Here is a 23,994-nt window from a genome sequence, read left to right on the forward strand (position 1 = left end):
ATTGAGGGCTTACTGTATGACCAGTCCTAAGAAACTGAGATACCACACTGAACCAAATTCCTGGCAATGTGGAATTTATAGGCTATTTTTTCATATTATGCTGAATTCTAACTCTCCCTAACTTCTATCTTTTGTTATCAGTTGTTCATATATCAGCCTTATACTACTATTATCTGCCAGCCTAATGAGGCTTTATTTTGTTAACTGATCTCTAAACTGATGTTTTCATCAAATCTGAAAAGAAATATTTTAAAGGTGAAAAATTTGAACTATCAGTGGTATAGGTTACATGTAAAACATTTCAACTAAATATGCATGATTCTGAGGCAGAAACAGATGCACTGAAAGTTTATGATTTTTATTTCTCTGGTCCATGTTCCTGGGCTTGCTTCATTAAAGCTGAGTGAGTAAAACTGATTGACAAGTAAGGCAATGTAAATGCAAATGCCTGAATCCACAATAGGACAGCCCCTTTAGAAAGGAATTGATGGCTCTGTAAATACAGTACTAACTAAACACCATGTATTGAGGACAATCTACAAAAAATAATATTTTGTCCTTAGAAATGTTTTGTTGTTACCTTGTAGATAGGCCCCAAATTATTTTTTAATAATATATAATAGACATGAATTATCTGCAGGTTACATATGAAAAAAAGATTCAGCATATAGTCTCATGCACAAGCAGACCAATTATTCTTTGAATCAAACCTCCCAACACCAATAATGGAATGCCAACCATATTTTCTTAATTGGCTCATGAATATGTTAAGGGGACTGGAGTTATTCTTTGCATATTTATTAATTCTATGTTTTCCTATTTATCTTGAAATATTAACTTTGACAAAGAAAGAACTTATGTTGATTTGACTTATTTTTTAATTCACAAAAAATATTTTATGTCTCAATTTACTAGCTTCACAGTATATACAGAATAGTAATGATTTTTTCATTCAGTAAAATGGTAGATGGGTTATTTCCAGCCCCATTCTTTATTTTATATTAATTCAAAGCATCCTTTTCAATAGTTTGAAATGTTACATCCACCTTGTCAAGTAGATCCAGTTGTTATAGCTGCCATTATACAGACTCTTCTCTGTAATAATTATTTTCATCATAAATGAAAGCATCCATCTTATTGGCATATTCCTTTATCAACACTGTGGTGTGAAATATGTTCTAGTTGATGAATATTGGCAAAATAGGTCATCTTGTTGGCAGTGGCAGCCCGTTGGGAGTGGCTGCTGTGAAGACATGGGCTGAAGTTGGGGAGGTGCAGCTAGGGCTGGGAACAGGGGGAGCCCTGCCCCCTTCTGAATTGGCAGGGTGGGAGCCCTGCCCTCCGAGGCACTGCTGCAGCTACCCAGCCACAGCTGCGGACGTGGGCACCCTGTGCTCCTGGGGACCTCTGAGCCCCCTCAGCCTCGCGGGCTCAGAAGTGCCTACTCCCACTGCCTGGCTTCTCCCTGTGCCTGGTGCCCACTCTGATTTCAGAGCAAAGTTGAGGGCAAGCCCGGGTGCTCTTCTGACCTGCCTGTGGGTGCGCATGTTTGGGGTGACGCTGACATGCCAAACCCTGGCCCTTGGCCCCCTTGGACTTTATGCACTGATCAGCATGGGAGGGAGGCTGAGGCAGGGTTGACGGCAGCTTGTCGGGCCTGCAGGCACTCCTCAGCATGAGCAGCGTGGGCACTATGGACAATATGATAGCAGCAGGAGGAAGACAGACTTCTGCATAGAAAAGGGTGGGTGCACAGTGAAGCCCCACCTTCAAGCCAGAGATGACCTAAAGTATGGGGTCTGGGCTGTCAGTTCTGGCTGGAGTCCATGGCTTGGAGTAAGAACTTATGGTGCTTTTTCCAGGCCTGCCTATGGCTGCCCATGGACTAATCAGCATGCACAATGCACTTCCTTCCTTCTGAAGCCCATAAAGGACTCTCTCTCCATTCCGCCCCATCCACCACTCAGCCATACTCACAGAGATGTTGGGACAACTTGCCTGCAGATGGCAGCTACCCATGCTTGGTCTCTCCGCTGAGGGCTGCAACCTGCCTGCGGAAAGGAGCTACCCACTTTGGGTCTATTGAAAGCTGTCCTGTCACTCAATGAAGCTTCTCTCCACCTTGTTTACCCTCCAGTTGTCCATGTACCTCATTCTTCCTGGATGTGGGACAAGAACTCAGGACCTGCTGAATGGCAGGACTGAAAGGGCTATAACACAAACAGGGCTGAAACATGACCTGCCACTCACCATGTTGTGAGCGACGGGAAGGAGAAAAGAGTTGCCGCCCTTAGGGAAGCCCAGACCTAGGGGCTCCCCAAGTTAGGGCTATGATGATACTGTCTTTGAGGCTCTGTGGTTCCTGGCATCTCCAAGTTTCCAGGCACCACTGCATTCCCCTTGTCCAGGCATGGGTGCCCACAACAGAAGCTGCATGTAGTACATCTGGTTCAGCTGCAGTGCCTGAAGCTGCCCACCCTGCCGCAGCAGCCAGTGTGCCTGCCTGTGCGCTGTGGCTGAACCCCATGCTCACTTGCCCACACACCCCTCACTGATCCGAGCCTGGCTTGCCCTTGGCAGGTATGGAATCCAGGCTGATAGCATGAGCCGAGTGCAGCCTTCCAGGATGAGTGGGCAAAGCGAGCCCACCAGGCATGAGCAATACTCAGGCAGAAGGTACCACCAGCCACAGAGGTTTCCAGCTGGTGAAGCAACACCCCAAGTATCCCGTGACAATCTGAGTAGCAGGAAGAGAATGTCTGAAAGCTGTGTATTTTTGTTGCAATGACTATCTTCTTGGTTTCTGACCAGGAAGACTCAGAATAAGTATGGTAGCATTTGTTGTCCTGGAATAGAAAGACAGGCACCAATCATGAGGACAATTTGGTTAATAATGGCAGGAAAGCAAAAAGGAGAGGAAAGTTTCAATGCAAGTACAGATCTAAGCATGGAATTGAGTCAACCAAAAAATTCTTTGCTCTGTGATTACTGTTCAATCCCAGCACCGTTGTCATGTCCAGCTGTCAGAATTAAAAGACAGTTTCCTGAGATACAGCCCTGCCCAGTTTGAATCAATAGGAAACTGGCCTGTTCACGTAGTAGGATCACATTTTCCCTGACTAGTAAGTGAGATTTGGAAATCATCTCTTGCCATTGTGTACCAGGACAATGCTTCTCAATCTTTATTCCAATCATGAGCATTCTTGAAAATTGGATGGAAGACATAAATCTTAGAAAGGTACACATGCACTTACATGCACATACACATTTTTGTAAACTATCGAAAGGGGTTTGCACGTGTCTTCTCACCCAATTGTGATTCTCCCTGGGGCCATGGACTCCAAGATAAGAACTTCCTACACTAGAGGAGAAGAAACTAGCTTTAATCATGTAGTCCATGTGTTAGATATTATCCTAAGCACTTTATACATACTCTCTCATTTACTCCTTACGACAACCCTGTGAGGTCATTTTATTGACCCCATTTTTCAAATGAGCTGGTCAGCATCAGGACTTGAGCATGGTTAAGCAACCCACAGGTGAAGACCTCAGAATACTAAATAGTCTGTTCATAAGCACTTAGTGCCATATTCTCCCAGTTTCCTTTTCTGGTTTGCCACCCTGTCTTTCTACTAATCCAAACTGTTCAACAGAGCTTATCTAGTTTCCCTTCATCCTCACTTAGACAATTACTTCTCCTCATCTTCCCATTGGGAGCCCCTGTTCTGCTTCATAGCCACCCTTCTGTGCTATAGTATCACTACTTTCGCCAGCTGCAAGGAGCTGAATCTTCTGATGTACGACCTCCATACCCTCATCTAGCCTCCTGCCACCAATTACCCCTACAGGTTTAGTCTCACATCTGTTCCTAAGCCAATACTAATTGAGGCAGGAAATAGACCTTGGTGTAGTGAGTCTGGGAATTAAATTACTTTAACAAGATCCACTGATCTGGCATCCAACAGCTGGGCTTTCAAATCTCCATTCCATTAACCAGATGAGGAATCCAATGTGTCTATGTGTATGCCTTTGTGTGCTTCTGTACTTTCTATTTATACATTTCCTATTGGCAGCATGTAAGGACTTTTACTATCTTGGAAATTAAATAGAATATTCCTTGAGAGTTAAACTTTGGGTAAAAAACCAGAGCAGAGATAAGCAAAGTATTGGGAAAGGTAAAGAATGGTTCCCATGTTGAAAGGATTTGATTGCAACTCAATTGTCCATATTAATTCACTTGAATAAAGACTGTTATCTATGTAAATAAGGGTTAGCCAGTAATGGAAATATAGAAAATGGAGAGTTTCAGGGAAATAAATGTTGGCAATGCCAACTCAGGAATAGCCAAGGGAATGAATACTGCTAAATATTCCTTTGAAACTCAAATGCTTCCCTTACCAAGAAAGGTGTCCCTTTTGTGATGAGAAATGCAATTAATTGTAGGCAATGAAAACAGCATGTTCTGGATCCATTCACAACAATAATATTTCTATGGACAAGTGGGTATGTTTCATGTTATCTTAGCACAATGCCCTTGAACAGTTTATACATCAAATCATCTTTCTACTAATTCCACACTTACCTAGTTACCATCTATTTATGATTTGATTTTCCATTTAGTTCTCTCTACAGGCAAATATTTACTACTCATGTACATGATAAATATCACTGGTCATTGGTGCTATGACAGTAATTTTTCAAGATGACTTAATAAAGTGGTATGGAATATTATTTGATTTCTTTTAAAGTCCAGCCACATTTTAATATTTGCTGATGCAACTGTTCTGCTCAGCATGGCACTTATACTCATTGAATTTTTCAAGTCAGGAGTTACAAGTATACTCTAGTCTTGGGCACATTTTAGTTAGGGTCATTCAGCCTCTCACCACTTGTTTCTCTGAGCACTATCAAGAAGGGGGCATTGCACATTGATTATAGAGTACAGAGCCTCTGAAATGACTTACCTAATTGAGGCATTTTCTGGGGAGGCTATTCTGAGCAGGAGGAAACCTTCCCTTTATGGCACAATGACCAATTTCATTATCTTGAATAGATTTTTACATTGTCTGCTCTATGATAGAACTGCGATTCTCTTTGCTCCCAGCTCCCCAGTTGGTATAGTTCCTTGGCTTATTATGCACATACCCCGTCCCTTATTCTGCCATCCCTCTAGCTACTTGGATGATATCTGGATGTCCAGAAACAAAGCTTTGGTTTGACCGAATCTGGTAATAGACCTGCCAAGTGCCTGGCTCATGGACTGTGCAATAGCCTGTCCCATCCCCTTATACTCTTGGCTGAGGGCCTTTAACAGAAACAAACTGTGAATAATGTCGCCTGGCCAGCTAGTGTTTCCCAACCCTCTGGATCTGCCCGTCTGGTGTCTGGTATTAGCAGAAATGTGAGTGGGCACTGATACTGCTCCGTTTTATGCCCAAAGTGTCTGTATCTTTTGAAAATGTTCCTCAGGCTGTTTGCTTGTCCTCACCAGAGCCAGAATGCATGGTTAGATTAGATTTCTTGACACTTCCTTCTGTTTGGTCCCAGCTTCCTTTCCCTCTCTAATAGTCACATGGTAGAGAATCTTAAATGCCAGATTGAGAAATAGGTTTTTAGTTAATTTGTGTCATGTCAGCAGGGGAGGCTGTGCCCCTTAAAGATTATTAAGAAGATAATATGGAATGAATTGAAAAGGGAGGACATATTAAGATGGGGACCAGATAGTCTAAAACAATTCACAGCAAACTGTGAATTGTAAGTCAAATTTGGCCCACATTTTTTTGTAAATAAAGTTTAATTGGGACATAGTCACATTCGTTCATTAATGTATTTTCTATGGCAACTTTTGTGATACCAAGAAGAGTTGACTAGTTGTGACAGAGATCGTACAGTATGCAAAGCCCCTCAAAAATTATTATCTGGCTCTGCACAGAAAAAGTTTGCAGAACCCAGTCAGTCTGCCTGATGATTATCGAGGAAGAGGTTAGCAAGAAGATTGAAAAAAGTATTAATGAGGGGCACTGAAGAATTTTATTGTAATTTTTTGACAAATGCCTAAGAGGTTTTATGTCCAAATACACTTCAGATATTACATTTGACTTTTGGAATAATTTTGTCAGTGTGAGCTACAGGCACTCCCAAACTAGTGGCAAGAACAAAGAACCTATTCTGATGTTCAAATCTGTTAGGAAACAATAAATTTTTGCCTTTGAAACATTGTACACCTTCCATATGATTTGGAAACTCTACGATTTGATTTTGGAAATAAACAAAGTACCCAGTCAACTGGTAAATGGAATAATTCTAATAGTGAGGGTAGAAGACATGTTCCAAATGTTTACTGAAGTAGAGCTTCAAAAGAAGTGGGGAAAATTATAGAATTCTAAGAAATAAAAGAAACGGATATACTTGAACTTTCTAGACCAAAAAAAAAAGCTAACTGGAAAGATAGATAAGTAGGTAGGTAGATAGGTAGCTAGCTAGATGGATTAGATAGATACATAGATAAGATAGATGGATAGATAGATAGGTTACATACATAGAAATCTATAATTTAACTGAAATTCTTCTCTCCACAATCCAATCTATTTCTTTCTTTGCTGTGACCTTTCCCCTATTAATTCATTAATATGCACTGTCTCAGGGGAGAGATTATATCGAATGTAGAGGATAAATACCTTGGCTTCTGAGTTACAAAATAGGCTCTTGAGACTCATAGCAGAGACAGATTCTTGAAATCCAGGGCTTTTGACCTGTAAGGGTTGGAATGCTCTATTTTTAAAAGGCTAATCCCAAAAGACATCTAGTTTCTGCTATAATTAATAGTTTGGAAATATGATAGGAGTCTATCCCTGGAGATTAGGTAGGGATTGTCCAAGTTAGGGGAGGAAAACTTGAGAGAATATGACTTTGTTTTAGAAAATTACTGTCTCCTAAGAGAGTAATGTCATATCAACACAATATCACAAGAGAGTAACACTATATCAATGCAATTTTCTAAAACAAAGAAAGTTCAAAGCTCAGTTCCGTAACCTGAAACTGAGATATAAGTGAATAGAGTTCTAGAACCTCCAACTACACTTGAGGGAGGAAAGTGCAGGACACCGAGGGGACCTGTGTCTTGTGTTTCAGATGGTGAGTGGAGATTTGGGAAGCCTTGTAGAGAAGTCCTGTATTCTGTTTCCTTTCCTTCCTTCCTTCCTTCCTTCCTTCCTTCCTTCCTTCCTTCCTTCCCTCCTTCCTTCCTTCCTTCTTTTTTCCCTCCCTCCCTCCCTCCCTCCCTCCCTTCCTTCCTTCCTTCCTTTCTTCCTTCCTTCCTTCCTTCCCATGGTTTCCCTCTGTCACCCAGGCTGGAGTACAGTGGCACGATCTCAGCTCACTGAAGCCTTACCTACTGGGCTCAAGCGATCCTCCCACCTCAGCCTCGCACATAGCTGGGACTACAGGCACGTGCCACCACACCTGGCTGTTTTTGTATTTTTTGTAGAGATGGGGTTTCATCATGTTGCTCAGGCTGGTCTCAAACTCCTGGGCTAGGAATCTGCCTGCCTTGGCCTCCCAAAGTGCTGGGATTACAGGCATGAGTCATGGCACCCAGCCTGTGTTCTGTATAATTTCTACGATATTGAGTAGCAATGACCACACAAGTTACCTGGGCAGGTGGATTTCAAGGCAGCTCTACAATTTCAGGAGAGTAGCCATTTGTCTTTCCTGTTCTTCAATTACAGGGTATGGATGTAGCTAAAAGAGATCTAGAGAATCAAAAATCTTGTTGTTGGAAAGAGGTGGGTGTAGAAGCCACGATCTAAGGGAGTCCAGATGGCATATGGAATGTCTCATTAAAGATTAACAAGAATAAATGCAAACAAAGTGCAGTGTGAACAGATGATCTGGGAAAGGACCCATATCCTCCCCAATGTGGTGCCACTTGAGCTGAACCAAAACCTGGGTACAATTCTAGAGGGGGAGAACCTAATTGACTGCAAAATTTTAATTTATCTAGAAAATACTGCAGGGACTCCATAAATTGTGATTAGAATGAGTTTACATTGAATTGAATAAGATTAAGTTCTTGTGTACAGATGAAATGATTATTTTGACATAAGAAATAATATTTTAAAAATATATAGCATATATTTTGTACTGTGAATATTTGTACTCACCATTTATAGATCAAGAAAATTTTCAGTTTTTTCCTTTTGGTTGTAAGATCATGCTATTTACTTTTTTGTATATATTGTGTTATACATAACACATTTTAACAATGGATATGTCTTATTTTAATAAATATGATCCCTGATAGGTTCCAGAAGTATAGAATTGGCTTTAAAGCCAAAAAAAAAGTGTGTGCTGATTGTACTAGGAGAATTTTAGTCATGTCTTTATACTCAGAACATGACTCTCAATTGTGACTGTATTCTGGAAAAGGGACAGTGTCTCTCTTTCTTTCACTGCACACACACGAAGATGTCTCTTTCAGTCAAGCAGGATAGTGGGAAAGGGGGAGAAAAGGTGGTATAACAAAGGGGTGTTTGGTATTACTGTTGTTAGGTCATCCAAGCTGATTAATGAGAGAGAAAGAGAGAGAGCGAGAGAGTGTGTGTGTGTGTGTGAGAGAGAGAGAGAGAGAGAATGGTGGCTGGGAACACAATGGTTTCGATAGGTAAACACACAAGTTTCTCCCCTGCCCTGAGCCCCATTGCTGTCATAGAGGACATTCTCATACACGAAGTAAATTGCCCTGATGAATCATCCTACTGCTTGGCTTCTTAGTGTCAGAAACAACTATGAACAAAATGAAATCTCATTTTAACATTTTGCAGAAGATTTATACCTTTAATACTCTTATTAAAGAATGAACAAAACCTTGAAACTGACCTAGAATTTCATTTTATGGCCCAATGGAGAACTGTTTTCCCAATAAGCATAAAATGCCTTTATCAATATTAATTTTCTAGGTTATTGATGATGATGTGAAAAATTTCTTATTACAATGTGTAAAAATATTGTGAGGACATAGGACATTTTTTGACATAGGTGCTGAAGTGAAATTGCTTTTATAGAATACTTGGCAGCACATTTAGAGTGCTGTTTACTAAAATTTAATCTGATTATTTGTAAGTTGACTTAATAATCCATTTATTATGGTAATATAGTGACAAATAATGATATGTAACATGTACTTTATACTAATTTATTAAAAATAAAAATTATGGGTGTGTGAAGTGGGAACTAGATAATTCATAGGCATATATTTGCAAATATCCTGAGAGGCAGAGAGGTTTATTCCTGTTGAATAGAAGACCCAAGAAATACATAAATCAGTTATCATAAAACTAAATGAAAAGAAGCTGGAATTGAGATGTTTGCCTTTCTTTTACTCAGGTACATATTTCAGGTATAATTATTACTCAAAGGGGCTACATTACATGGTTGATTTAGATTAGCTAAGCATAAAGAATGTTGTACTTCAAAGTAAATAGGAATAGGCAATGACAATTTATGTCTTTACTGCCAAAGAAACAAGGAGTTTAGGAAGAAGATTAAATGTAACGATAGTTTAAAATGTTTCAGTATTACTTATTGCTTGTCAAAATAAAATTGTCAAAATTGAAAACTAAGGCTATATATAAGGGAACTTGCATAAACTTTAGAAATAATATACATAAAACTGGAGTTGGTAATTTATTTCTACCTTAACAAATTCATTGTTTCTATTTTATTAATCTAACTTAGTTTGTGGGGTTGTTTTGCTCTTTTCTTTCCTCTTTTCTTCCTAGACTTCCCATCATATTGGCCACAGGTTGACACTTACTGACAGGTGTATGTATGCAAATATAAACACTAGTGACACTTAATTACATAAACTCTTGGGAAATACACCATTTGGCTACGCATATTAGCAGTTGTAAATATTTATTGAACAGTTCTGTAATTAACATTTTGCTGTGTTATAAGAGTGTTTTTTTTAACGTACTTTCAATAACTGATCACTTGATTCTCAAAACAGCTGTCAGTTAGGGAGTGGGGTATTATCCACATTTGACAGATGAGGAAACTGGAGGCCAGAGTCAAAGTACCTAGTTGGCATCAGAGTGAGGCCAAGGGATTATGCTTTCTTTCAGGGAAAAAAGAAATGGAAAAAAGAGAGACTGGTGCTTATTTAAAGCTGAAGAATGAACTATCAAATCATGCCCAAGCAAGGTCTAGAAGTGGAAGAAACAATTATTCTGGACATCTTTCAGTCAAGTGTATCATTATCATAGATTCCCAGGCATTCTTATCAAAATTGTGGCTGTGTTAAGAAGTTTTGCAAGGTTAGCTTCTGAGAAGGTGAAAAAATTTAGGCTGAAAAATCTGCTATATTTGCCATCTTTAACCAGGTAGACAGATTTTACTCCTGCTGAAAAAAAAAAAAAAACCTTTGCATTGAAAAAAGAATTATCTTTGAATGTTTTCTTTAAGACACAATTCAAGCACTATTTTAAGGGCATCTACCTTCTCTTTCATCAAGTATTGAGCACCTACAAGATACTAGAAATTCTGTTAGATCTGGGGATAGAATACAGCCTAATAGAAAACAATCTAAACGCTATTATTCTTAAAAATGGGGGATCAGCATTATACAAATAAATGATCACATTAATATATAATTAGAAAGTATACATGTAATTGAAGAAATTAAAGAGCGTGATGATTAAGGCAACTGATTTAGATTCAGGATCAGTGAATAAGTGACATTAAATTTCAGACCTGAAAGAAAATTAGGAATTAGGCCAGGTGGGGAAAGAATTCCCCTGACAGAGCGACAGACAAAGCTGAAGATAGAGGCTGCACCAAGTTGTTGAGTCTTACAGGCCAGGCTGACAAATCTGATTCTTTTTCCTGGGGAAAATACTGAAGAATTTTAAGTGAGCGATTATAAGGTTAAATTAGCATTTTCAGTTAATTTACTGCTAGATGGAAAATGGATTGAAGGAGAATAAAGGAAGATTCAGAGAGTCTATATCAAAGATTAGGGTGACTTTTACTAGAGCTGTGGCTGGGGAGATAGAGACACGAACCTATTCAAGTCATAGCTATTTCACCAGAAAAAATGAGCACTGCCTGGACAAATACTAATTATCATTTTGGCCAACCTTATATTTTTTGTTAATAAGAAACAGTATTTTAGAATAAACCCACAATCCAAAATATTAGAGAAATACTATTGTTTCTGTAACTTTGCAGATCTGATACCAAATCTATGGAAAGAAGTTGAAATGCTGAAACAATGAGCTTTTCAAAAATCTAGGCATTTGGCACAGTGTTCAAAAGAAGGGAGTCCTAGACTTGCTCAGTTTTGAAGCTGCACATCACGTACCTAAAAAACAATGTGTAAGTCCCATCCTGCCAGCAGTCAGAAAGTCCAGCTTTTTTTTTTTTAACAATTTTATTCCCCAGTAGTTTTCTGAGTAACCCCAGAGAAAGCTGATGTGCTTCCCAAATCCGTCCTTGTTGCCACCTGCCACTTTAGTCAACCAAGGGTCTCTAGACCACAGCATGGCTTTTGTGCGTGTCACCCTGTGCTGTCTTGAGACTGGAATCTCTGAACAGTCTGGAACTTCTTTCTCATTTCCCCAATGCAGATTACATTGTCTGGCCTCAGATTCCCCATGGTGTTAAGTGAATCTATAATTCTTAAGAAGATTTTTTCTGAAGGCTTGGGGATAACAGAAGAGATTTCAAACTCAGAGAGAATAAAACTGGAAACTATAGTCATTCTCAGTTCATAATGCAAGCCCCAACAACAAATATCACCTTTTGTCCCCAGCCTGTGGTCTGCAGCCTGGGTACCTGAAGATACAGACTTCTCGTTCCCAAAGTTACTCTCCTCTAATTGTTTCTCCCCTATCAGGAGCCCACCCCAGCCACCAAAGAAAAAAAATGCAAGCCTCTTTGTGAAAAAGATCCACAGTGTACAATTTGATCCCTAGTGAAGACCATCTTACTGTTATTTTGCAGAGGGCTTTAGCCTCTTGATCCTGGGTCTCTTCATCATAGAGTGGGATTTGTGCTTTACATTTGTCAAGGCAGAAAGGACTTAAAGTGATTACCCCTGCACTAAACAGTAATTGCCCTCCCATGTGGTTTCAACCTTTAGAGAAACAGGTTCCTGATCAAAGTGTCAAAAATTCTTGGGTTTGTATTAGTTTCCTAGGACTGCCATAACAAAGTACCACAAAATGGGTATCTTCAACAACGGAAATGTATTGTCTCACAGTTCTGGAGATGATACAATTCTAGAAGTCTGAGATCAAGGTGTCAGCAGCGTTGGTTCTTTCTGAAGGCTGTGAGGTTAATTTGACTGCTAGAAGGAAAATGGCTCCATGCCTCTTCCCTGGGTTTTGTTGGCTTGTGACAATCTTCGGCATTCCTTGACTTCTAAAGGCATCATCTTAATCTCTGCCTTCATCTTCACATGGTGTTTTCCCTGTAGGGCTTCACATTGTCTTCACTCTGTGCATGTCTCTGTGTCCAAATTTTCCCTTTTATAAGGACATCAATCAAAATGGATTATGGGCCTACCCTACCCCAGAATGACCTCATCTTAACTAATTACATCTGGAACTATCCTGTTTCCAAATAAGGTCGCATTCTTAGGTACTGGGGATTAGGACTTCAACACATGAATTTTGCAGGGACACGCTTAACCTGTAACAAGGTCTTATCTCATTGGAGCACCTAGTTGATGAGATAGTGTAAATCATGTCATCTTACATCATGACTTGACTAACAAATCACTAGGAACAAAACCTTGAGTGTACTTGGCCTGGGAGGGAAGGAGACCATAGGGAAAACTGCCTCCTGTCCCCTCTGTAAAGATTTCAATAAAGAAGTAGTTGTCCGTAAGAAGGAGGGAGAAGTGGGGGCCATAGGCAATTTAATTATCCCAAGTTTCATTTTATTTTATTTTTTAAGACAGGGTCTGGCTCTGTTGCTCAGGCTGGAGTGCAGTGGCACCCATCATTGCTCACTGCCCCCTCAAACTCCTGGGCTCAAGCAATCCTCTCACCTCAGCCTCCCGAGTAGCTGGGTCTATAGGTGTGTGCCATAATGCCTAACTAATAATTTTTCCTTCTAATTACCTGGTTGTTTTATTTTGGTTTATGAAAATACTACACAATTGTTGTAGAGCATGAACAAAATATAAGTAATTGCAGAGGAGGAAAAAAGGCATAATCCTAATACCTAAAATGGCCAGTATTTAAAAAGGAATCATGTAGTTTATTAAAAATTGAAATAATCTTGGATAAACTTTTGTATCCTGCCTTATCCACTTACTACTATTATAAACATTTTAAAATATAATAATATGCTTCAATACTGTGTTTTTTGCTTCTTTTCCTAATGACTCTATGGTATTTTATTACCAAATAGAGTGTAATCTATTTAATCATTCTTCTCTCAAGATTTTTTTCTTGAAATTATTATTTCTATGTTTATTTTATTATTATTTCTATATTTATATTAAAAATAAGAGCAATGAAGATTTTTGTACATAAATCTTGTATACATATCTAATTATTTTGATATGTACATTCCTAGAAGTGAAGTCGCAAGTTTTATATCTAAAGCTTTTAAATTGTACTGCAATTATAACTTCCCAAAAGAGTGATTTATGTGTTGTGCTCTGTCAAATAATACATATTTTCCCAATCCCTTGTCAACATTAGATAGATAGAACATAAATTCCAAATTAAGGAGTAAAACATTTTGCTGTTGTTCTAATTACTTGTTTTCCTTTTTATAATAATGTTGAACTTTTTTTTGAAAATTCACATTTCTGTTTTTGCGAATCGCCTTTCATGTTCTTTGTTTGTTTTTCATTCAGTATTTTTATTATTATGTTTTTCTTACTGACTTTTGAAAGCTCTTTATCACCCATATATAACCCAATGTATGTTTTTTTCCAGGATGTCATTTACTTTTTAATTCCATTTATGATTTGTTTTAAAGTATAGAAACTTGATACCTCCCTGCAAGCTGAGGGAGCAGGCTCCGGCCTTGGCCAGCCCAGAAAGGGGATCCCACAATGCAGCGGTGGGCTGAAGTGTTCCTCAAGTGCCGCCAAAGTGGGAGCCCAGGCAGAGGAGGCGCCGAGAGCGAGTGAGGGCTGTGAGGACTGCCAGCACGCTGTCACCTCTCAACACTGCGGTGCTGATAATGACACTTCCTGATAATTAGGAATGTGGAGCCAAGATGGCCGAATAGGAACAGCTCCGGTCTACAGCTCCCAGCGTGAGCGACGCAGAAGATGGGTGATTTCTGCATTTCCATCTGAGGTACCGGGTTCATCTCACTAGGGAGTGCCAGACAGTGGGCGCAGGCCCGTGTGTGTGCGCACCGTGCGCGAGCCGAAGCAGGGCGAGGCATTGCCTCACCTGGGAAGCGCAAGGGGTCAGGGAGTTCCCTTTCTGAGTCAAAGAAAGGGGTGACGGACGCACCTGGAAAATCGGGTCACTCCCACCCGAATATTGCGCTTTTCAGACCAACTTAAGAAATGGCGCACCACGAGACTATATCCCACACCTGGCTCAAAGGGTCCTACGCCCACGGAATCTCGCTGATTGCTAGCACAGCAGTCTGAGATCAAACTGCAAGGCGGCAACGAGGCTGGGGGAGGGGCGCCCGCCATTGCCCAGGCTTGCTTAGGTAAACAAAGCAGCCGGGAAGCTCGAACTGGGTGGAGCCCACCACAGCTCAAGGAGGCCTGCCTGCCTCTGTAGGCTCCACCTCTGGGGGCAGGGCACAGACAAACAAAAAGACAGCAGTAACCTCTGCAGACTTAAGTGTCCCTGTCTGACAACTTTGAAGAGAGCAGTGGTTCTCCCAGCACGCAGCTGGAGATCTGAGAACGGGCAGACTGCCTCCTCAAGTGGGTCCCTGACACCTGACCCCTGACCCCCGAGCAGCCTAACTGGGAGGCACCCCCCAGCAGGGGCACACTGACACCTCACACGGCAGGGTATTCCAACAGACCTGCAGCTGAGGGTCCTGTCTGTTAGAAGGAAAACTAACAACCAGAAAGGACATCTACACCAAAAACCCATCTGTACATCACCATCATCAAAGACCAAAAGTAGATAAAACCACAAAGATGGGGAAAAAACAGAACAGAAAAACTGGAAACTCTAAAACACAGAGCGCCTCTCCTCCTCCAAAGGAACGCAGTTCCTCACCAGCAACAGAACAAAGCTGGATGGAGAATGATTTTGACGAGCTGAGAGAAGAAGGCTTCAGACGATCAAATTACTCTGAGCTACGGGAGGACATTCAAACCAAAGGCAAAGAAGTTGAAAACTTTGAAAAAAATTTAGAAGAATGTATAACTAGAATAACCAATACAGAGAAGTGCTTAAAGGAGCTGATGGAGCTGAAAACCAAGGCTCGAGAACTACATGAAGAATGCAGAAGCCTCAGGAGCCGATGCGATCAACTGGAAGAAAGGGTATCAGCAATGGAAGATGAAATGAATGAAATGAAGTGAGAAGGGAAGTTTAGAGAAAAAAGAATAAAAAGAAATGAGCAAAGCCTCCAAGAAATATGGGACTATGTGAAAAGACCAAATCTACGTCTGATTGGTGTACCTGAAAGTGACGGGGAGAATGGAACCAAGTTGGAAAACACTCTGCAGGATATTATCCAGGAGAACTTCCCCAATCTAGCAAGGCAGGCCAACGTTCAGATTCAGGAAATACAGAAAACGCCACAAAGATACTCCTCGAGAAGAGCAACTCCAAGACACATAATTGTCAGATTCACCAAAGTTGAAATGAGGAAAAAATGTTAAGGGCAGCCAGAGAGAAAGGTCGGGTTACCCTCAAAGGAAAGCCCATCAGACTAACAGCGGATCTCCTGGCAGAAACCCTACAAGCCAGAAGAGAGTGGGGGCCAATATTCAACATTCTTAAAGAAAAGAATTTTCAACCCAGAATTTCATATCCAGCCAAACTAAGCTTCATAAGTGAAGGAGAAATAAAATACTTTATAGACAAGCAAATGCTGAGAGATTTTGTCACCACCAGGCCTGCCCTAAAAGAGCTCCTGAAGGAAGCGCTAAACATGGAAAGGAACAACCGGTACCAGCCGCTGCAAAATCATGCCAAAATGTAAAGACCATCGAGACTAGGAAGAAACTGCATCAACTAATGAGCAAAATCACCAGCTAACATCATAATGACAGGATCAAATTCACACATAACAATATTAACTTTAAATATAAATGGACTAAATTCTGCAATTAAAAGACACAGACTGGCAAATTGGATAGAGTCAAGACCCATCAGTGTGCTGTATTCAGGAAACCCATCTCACGTGCAGAGACACACATAGGCTCAAAATAAAAGGATGGAGGAAGATCTACCAAGCAAATGGAAAGCAAAAAAAAAAGGCAGGGGTTGCAATCCTAGTCTCTGATAAAACAGACTTTAAACCAACAAAGATCAAAAGAGACAAAGAAGGCCATTACATAATGGTAAAGGGATCAATTCAACAAGAAGAGCTAACTATCCTAAATATTTATGCACCCAATACAGGAGCACCCAGATTCATAAAGCAAGTCCTGAGTGACCTACAAAGAGACTTAGACTCCCACACATTAATAATGGGAGACTTTAACACCCCACTGTCAACATTAGACAGATCAACGAGACAGAAAGTCAACAAGGATACCCAGGAATTGAACTCAGCTCTGCACCAAGCAGACCTAATAGACATCTACAGAACTCTCCACCCCAAATCAACAGAATATACATTTTTTTCAGCACCACACCACACCTATTCCAAAATTGACCACATACTGGGAAGTAAAGCTCTCCTCAGCAAATGTAAAAGAACAGAAATTATAACAAACTATCTCTCAGACCACAGTGCAATCAAACTAGAACTCAGGATTAAGAATCTCACTCAAAGCCGCTCAACTACATGGAAACTGAACAACCTGCTCCTGAATGACTACTGGGTACATAACGAAATGAAGGCAGAAATAAAGATGTTCTTTGAAACCAACGAGAACAAAGATACAACATACCAGAATCTCTGGGACGCATTCAAAGCAGTGTGTAGAGGGAAATTTATAGCACTAAATGCCTACAAGAGAAAGCAGGAAAGATCCAAAATTGACACCCTAACATCACAATTAAAAGAACTAGAAAAGCAAGAGCAAACACATTCAAAAGCTAGCAGAAGGCAAGAAATAACTAAAATCAGAGCAGAACTGAAGGAAATAGAGACACAAAAAACCCTTCAAAAAATCAATGAATCCAGGAGCTGGTTTTTTGAAAGGATCAACAAAATTGATAGACTGCTAGCAAGACTAATAAAGAAAAAAAGAGAGAAGAATCAAATAGACACAATAGAAAATGATAAAGGGGATATCACCACCGATCCCACAGAAATGCAAACTACCATCAGAGAATACTACAAACACCTCTACGCAAATAAACTAGAAAATCTAGAAGAAATGGATAAATTCCTGGACACATACACTCTCCCAAGACTAAACCAGGAAGAAGTTGAATCTCTGAATAGACCAATAACAGGCTCTGAAATTGTGGCAATAATCAATAGTTTACCAACCAAAAAGAGTCCAGGACCAGATGGATTCACAGCCAAATTCTACCAGAGGTACAAGGAGGAACTGGTACCATTCCTTCTGAAACTATTCCAATCAATAGAAAAAGAGGGAATCCTCCCTAACTCATTTTATGAGGCCAGCATCATTCTGATACCAAAGCCAGGCAGAGACACAGCCAAAAAAGAGAATTTTAGACCAATATCCTTGATGAACATTGATGCAAAAATCCTCAATAAAATACTGGCAAACCGAATCCAGCAGCACATCAAAAAGCTTATCCACCATGATCAAGTGGGCTTCATCCCTGGGATGCAAGGCTGGTTCAATATAGGCAAATCAATAAATGTAATCCAGCATATAAACAGAGCCAAAGACAAAAACCACATGATTATCTCAATAGATGCAGAAAAAGCCTTTGACAAAATTCAACAACCTTCATGCTAAAAACTCTCAATAAATTAGGTATTGATGGGACGTATTTCAAAATAATAAGAGGTATCTATGACAAACCCACAGCCAATATCATACTGAATGGGCAAAAACTGGAAGCACTCCCTTTGAAAACTGGCACAAGACAGGGATGCCCTCTCTCACCGCTCCTATTCAACATAGTGTTGGAAGTTCTGGCCAGGGCAATCAGGCAGGAGAAGGAAATAAAGGGTATTCAATTAGGAAAAGAGGAAGTCAAATTGTCCCTGTTTGCAGACGACATGATTGTTTATCTAGAAAACCCCATCGTCTCAGCCCAAAATCTCCTTAAGCTGATAAGCAACTTCAGCAAAGTCTCAGGATACAAAATCAATGTACAAAAATCACAAGCATTCTTATACACCAACAACAGACAAACAGAGAGCCAAATCATGAGTGAACTCCCATTCACAATTGCTTCAAAGAGAATAAAATACCTAGGAATCCAACTTACAAGGGATGTGAAGGACCTCTTCAAGGAGAACTACAAACCACTGCTCAAGGAAATAAAAGAGGACACAAACAAATGGAAGAACATTCCATGCTCATGGGTAGGAAGAATCAATATCGTGAAAATGGCCATACTGCCCAAGGTAATTTACAGATTCAATGCCATCCCCATCAAGCTACCAAGGACTTTCTTCACAGAATTGGAAAAAACTACTTTAAAGTTCATATGGAACCAAAAAAGAGCCCGCATCGCCAAGTCAATCCTAAGCCAAAAGAACAAAGCTGGAGGCATCACACTACCTGACTTCAAACTATACTACAAGGCTACAGTAACCAAAACAGCATGGTACTGGTACCAAAACAGAGATATAGATCAATGGAACAGAACAGAGCCCTCAGAAATAATGCCGCATATCTACAACTATCTGATCTTTGACAAACCTGAGAAAAACAAGCAATGGGGAAAGGATTCCCTATTTAATAAATGGTGCTGGGAAAACTGGCTAGCCATATGTAGAAAGCTGAAACTGGATCCCTTCCTTACACCTTATACAAAAATCAATTCAAGATGGATTAAAGATTTAAACGTTAGACCTAAAACCATAAAAACCCTAGAAGAAAACCTAGGCATTACCATTGAGGACATAGGCGTGGGCAAGGACTTCATGTCCAAAACACCAAAAGCAATGGCAACGAAAGACAAAATTGACAAATGGGATCTAATTAAACTAAAGAGCTTCTGCACAGCAAAAGAAACTACCATCAGAGTGAACAGGCAACCTACAACATGGGAGAAAATTTTCGCAACCTACTCATCTGACAAAGGGCTAATATCCAGAATCTACAATGAACTCAAACAAATTTACAAGAAAAAAACAAACAACCCCATCAAAAAGTGGGCGAAGGACATGAACAGACACTTCTCAAAAGAAGACATTTATGCAGCCAAAAAACACATGAAGAAATGCTCATCATCACTGGCCATCAGAGAAATGCAAATCAAAACCACTATGAGATATCATCTCACACCAGTTAGAATGGCAATCATTAAAAAGTCAGGAAACAACAGGTGCTAGAGAGGATGTGGAGAAATAGGAACACTTTTACACTGTTGGTGGGACTGTAAACTAGTTCAACCATTGTGGAAGTCAGTGTGGCGATTCCTCAGGGATCTAGAACTAGAAATACCATTTTACCCAGCCATCCCATTACTGGGTATATACCCAAATGACTATAAATCATGCTGCTATAAAGACACATGCACACGTATGTTTATTGCGGCACTATTCACAATAGCAAAGACTTGGAACCAACCCAAATGTCCAACAATGATAGACTGGATTAAGAAAATATGGCACATATACACCATGGAATACTCTGCAGCCATAAAAAATGATGAGTTCATGTCCTTTGTAGGGACATGGATGAAATTGGAAACCATCATTCTCAGTAAACTATCGCAAGAACAAAAAACCAAACACCGCATATTCTCACTCATAGGTGGGAATTGAACAATGAGATCACATGGACACAGGAAGGGGAATATCACACTCTGGGGACTGTGGTGGGGTCGGGGGAGGGGGGAGGGATAGCATTGGGAGATATACCTAATGCTAGATGACATGTTAGTGGGTGCAGCGCACCAGCATGGCACATGTATACATAACTAACCTGCACAATGTGCACATGTACCCTAAAACTTAGAGTATAATAAAAAAAAAAAAATTAAAAAAAAAAAAAGAAACTTAATCTTAATGCTCTTGGCTTTGTCAGCTCTTTCTTTTATAGTTTCTATCTTTGATTTTATGCCTTTAAATTGTTATCTCAACCTAAAAGCTGATAAAAATTTATTTATATATTTTTCTTATTTTGTATGTGTGTGTGTGTGTTTTAATTCTTACACATTTAACATTTTAGGCTGTCTAGAATTTATTTTTGTGTGTGGAATAAAAATGTGATCACATGTATTTCTTTTACATTAAGATTTCAGACAGAATATATCTAAAGTGCACATTGTATAACCCTTCTCTCAGTGATCTGAAATGCCATTTTTATCATACACCAAATTCTCAGTCTACTACAGTTGGATTTTGGGCTCTGCATTCTCTTTCATGAAGTGATCTTCAAGGACTCTCATCTTTGTGGTCTTCATTTTTACATCTTAATGTAGCTGTAGTATCCTTTTTAAATTTTCTTGAAAGCAAGATCTTTGGAAAAAAATCATTTCCTGTTTCCTACAACAAACTTGATTAAAAAGATTTACTTTTTACACTGAGTTCTCCAGTATTTTCCTTCCTTGTCTTGGAGAGCTGGTGTTTGCTTATCCCTAGGGAAGCCCTGAGGCTCGGCTGCCTTTGAGCTTGTGGGAGTAGCTACAAAGGTTGAAACCGTGTGTGACTTCCAGACCACACATGGCGTGGTGGTCATTCTGGTCAGCCTGGGTGCAAGCAGTACGAGTATGCATTGACTGTAGAAAATTTACAAACAGCAACAGAAAAACCTGGTAAACATTGATTTGCTTTTCATTATCATCATGTACCAAGAAGTTTAAACAATGTTAATGATACAATACTCTCTTAAAAAATCTTTTATTGGTCTAATTCTAAACAATTGCCATAGCTATTGAGTTCTAATAACAGATGCATGGCTTTAAATTTGTACATTTTAAAATTGCTTATCACTGGATAAACGTTATGTTCTCTATGAGAGGTAATTCAAAGAACTCCAAATTATACAGTCAGTTTCTAACCCACGAAGATTAACTATATTTGAGTTTGCTTGGGGAGTGGTTTTCCAACTCCAGAGGAACTAGGTATTCCTGCATTCAAATGGTATATATAACATGAACAAGAGAGCACAGTGCTTGTAAACTGGAAGAAACAGAACGTGATGAATTTTCTGGTGAAGCTCTTTTCGAGGAAATGTTCTGGCTGCAAGAGAGATTTGAGATTTACCAGAATTGATCCTGAGGAAATAAGACATGGGTGGTATTGCAAGCTCTGGAATGTATTGTAAAATGATATTTTTATAAATATCTGCAACACTTACCTGTATGTTTAAGAGTTGTGTGTCTGTTGCTTCATTTGAAATACCTTTTTGAACTTAAAATGAATATAAGGTTTAATATTGGCCAACTATGAACAATGACAGATTAACAAGGCTGCACTGCCTATGAATGTAAATATGTGAAGAAAAACAGTTTTGAAGATGTTATTTACTAATTTGAAGAAGTTAAGGCCTAAAAACAAAAACTTTGTTTTTCATTCGTTACTGTAATAGACTAATATGTAGGTCTATGTTTTATTTCCATTTATATGTAGTACTTCATTATTTATTTTTTCTTTCGGCATTGCAGTATTTATTTGTTGTTAATTAATACATTTTTTTTTTACTGGAATAATTATATGACAAAGTTTAATAAAAGGGAATTTTCAACATTTTCCGGACATTATTGTAATTTATTTTATTTCATGATTATTACTGCAAGTAATTTTGTTGCATAGAAAAGAGGGTGTTAAAAAGTGCTTTGCTCCAAGTTTTAAATACGCTAGGTGTGCTTCTATCTCTGGGTAGCACTCCTTTCTGGAGGGAACCTTCCATACTATCAGCATGTCTGGCCATCATCTCAAAAAGAAGCCTCTACTGCTTCTATATCCTCTGTACCTGCCCATGACCTGACCTCACCCTACTGATTTAGATGATGTGAAGACACATCTGGTCTGCTAACTTCCCAGGCATATTAGACAGCTAACAATGTTTCCTTTAAGTCAGTCCCATACGTATCAAAGTTTCTAGCACACAGATGGCATTCTTTCTAGTTTCCAATGATGTTTTATTTTTCTACCACTTTCCTCCCAATTTTACATTTTGTAGGTTTTTCCCATGGTGTTCCCTTTCCAATGTCTTTCTGGAAGTCACACATTGACCACTAACAACAGGAGAGAGGACAAAGAAAGGCAGCAAAAGACTATTTCCAATGCGAAATATGATCAGGTAACTCAACACTCTTTTCTTGGGCATGTGGGGTGGGCAAAGGTGGGATGCCCTTCTGAAGGGTGCAAAGAAGCTAGCTCATCCTTTGGAATGACACTTAAGCCTCCCAAGTTATTTCTATCTTGGATAATAAGAATTCTGGTTTTGAAATGAATGGTTGGAATGCATTTTCTTTGATAAAATATGCACAAAATTTTAGAGCTAGAGTTTAAAAAACCAAGCCCTTTATTTTATAGATGAAAAAAAAAAATAAATCCCAGAGGAGTAAAGTCACTTGAGTTAATCCCTCAAGGTAGTTAGTGGCAGAACTGGAACCAGAGCTCGGATCTACCTGTTCTTAATTAAGCATATTTTCTAATGGAGATATTGCTGTGCTTGCTTTGACGTCATGCTTAACCTTTCTCCCCAGTTCCTGCTTCCTGGTTGCTGTGAGGATTCAATCTAATAATATATATTAGAATGTTCCTGAACCTCTAAAAGGCTTAAAAAATCTTGACAGGCTTACTGTTATTCTAATAAATGTTCCAAATAATAGAAGTTTCAAAAGGATGTAAATTGTGGCTTTTTGTGGAGTTCTGTATGAAATGCAGCCTTTTCTCTTTTACAGTGATATTGACATAATTCTGCTCCGATAAACTAATGTTCCTATCTCAAATGACTTCTTTGGCAGGAACAAAAATTAATATGTTAATGCAAAAAAAGACACAGAAAGATTTCAAAACGGGGAACGGCAGAATGTCTTAAAAGTTACCAAGAGACAAATGCCGATGCTTAATTTTTATTTTAAAATAAAGTATTCAGTATCTATATAATAACGTTAAATGCGCAAGCATTGTTTGTAATCATAACCCCTCCCCTTCTTCTATCTAATAGAAAATTTGCTAGTCTTTTATGTTTCTGCTTTATTCATTTATTTCTTTCCTTAAGCAAGTATTTATTGGAATATTATTATGTGCCATTTCTGTGGTTACAACAATGAATACAAGAAGCTTCTATAGAGAGAAACAGAGGCAATTATAATAAGTCATGGAAAGAACTAGGGTAGCAGAAGTAGTGTTAGAGAAGCAAGGAAAATAGAGTTTAGTAAAACTTGAAACATTCAGATTTTCCATTAATAAGAAATTCTGTTAAGAGTATTATTGAGGGATTTGAGTGAAACCAAAAGTTTAAAAATCATTTGAATTTTTAAAACTCAATGGTTTTAGTCTGTTGTGACCAAATATATTGAAAAATGGCTACTATTCAAATTCATTTAAAATTTATCCTCTGTTTAATTTTTACTTTGTGAATGTGATTCTAGTTTATTTAATTTGGGAAATAATGAAAAAAGAGCTAGATTCTAAATTTCCTAGGTTTTGAGGACTGATGAAACATTTCCCATTACTGAAATGTTATCTATTAAAACTGAAAAACTTGGGTTGAAATCTTTGGATGCATCAGCAATATGATCAATAGTCATGATTAAA

At 39.1% G+C, this 23,994-nt stretch overlaps 2 long non-coding RNA genes across 2 annotated transcripts, besides 1 other annotated feature; one reads left to right on the forward strand and one right to left on the reverse strand.

The window, feature by feature from the left end:
* Positions 1-862: 862 nt before the first annotated feature.
* LOC100288208 (uncharacterized) lies at positions 863-7,021 on the reverse strand. Its single transcript, NR_144452.1, has 2 exons — positions 6,678-7,021; positions 863-2,846 (listed from the first exon to the last, which is right to left on the reverse strand). It is a non-coding gene; the product is annotated as an uncharacterized LOC100288208 (long non-coding RNA).
* A 57-nt stretch (positions 7,022-7,078) lies between these two features.
* LINC00381 (long intergenic non-protein coding RNA 381) lies at positions 7,079-23,065 on the forward strand. The gene is made up of 5 exons (NR_047005.1): positions 7,079-7,134; positions 7,349-7,445; positions 13,999-14,324; positions 22,409-22,528; positions 22,938-23,065. It is a non-coding gene; the product is annotated as a long intergenic non-protein coding RNA 381 (long non-coding RNA).
* Positions 14,460-15,024: an enhancer, noted in NCBI's record as "NANOG-H3K27ac-H3K4me1 hESC enhancer chr13:75000691-75001255 (GRCh37/hg19 assembly coordinates)". NCBI's record gives its function as "activates a minimal SCP1, AML or CMV promoter by ChIP-STARR-seq in naive H9 embryonic stem cells {active_cell/tissue: H9 hESC(naive)}" and the evidence as "EXISTENCE:reporter gene assay evidence [ECO:0000049][PMID:30033119]".
* Positions 23,066-23,994: the final 929 nt, after the last annotated feature.

This window comes from Homo sapiens, chromosome 13 (genome assembly GCF_000001405.40).
Source record: "Homo sapiens chromosome 13, GRCh38.p14 Primary Assembly".
Lineage (NCBI taxonomy): Eukaryota > Metazoa > Chordata > Mammalia > Primates > Hominidae > Homo > Homo sapiens.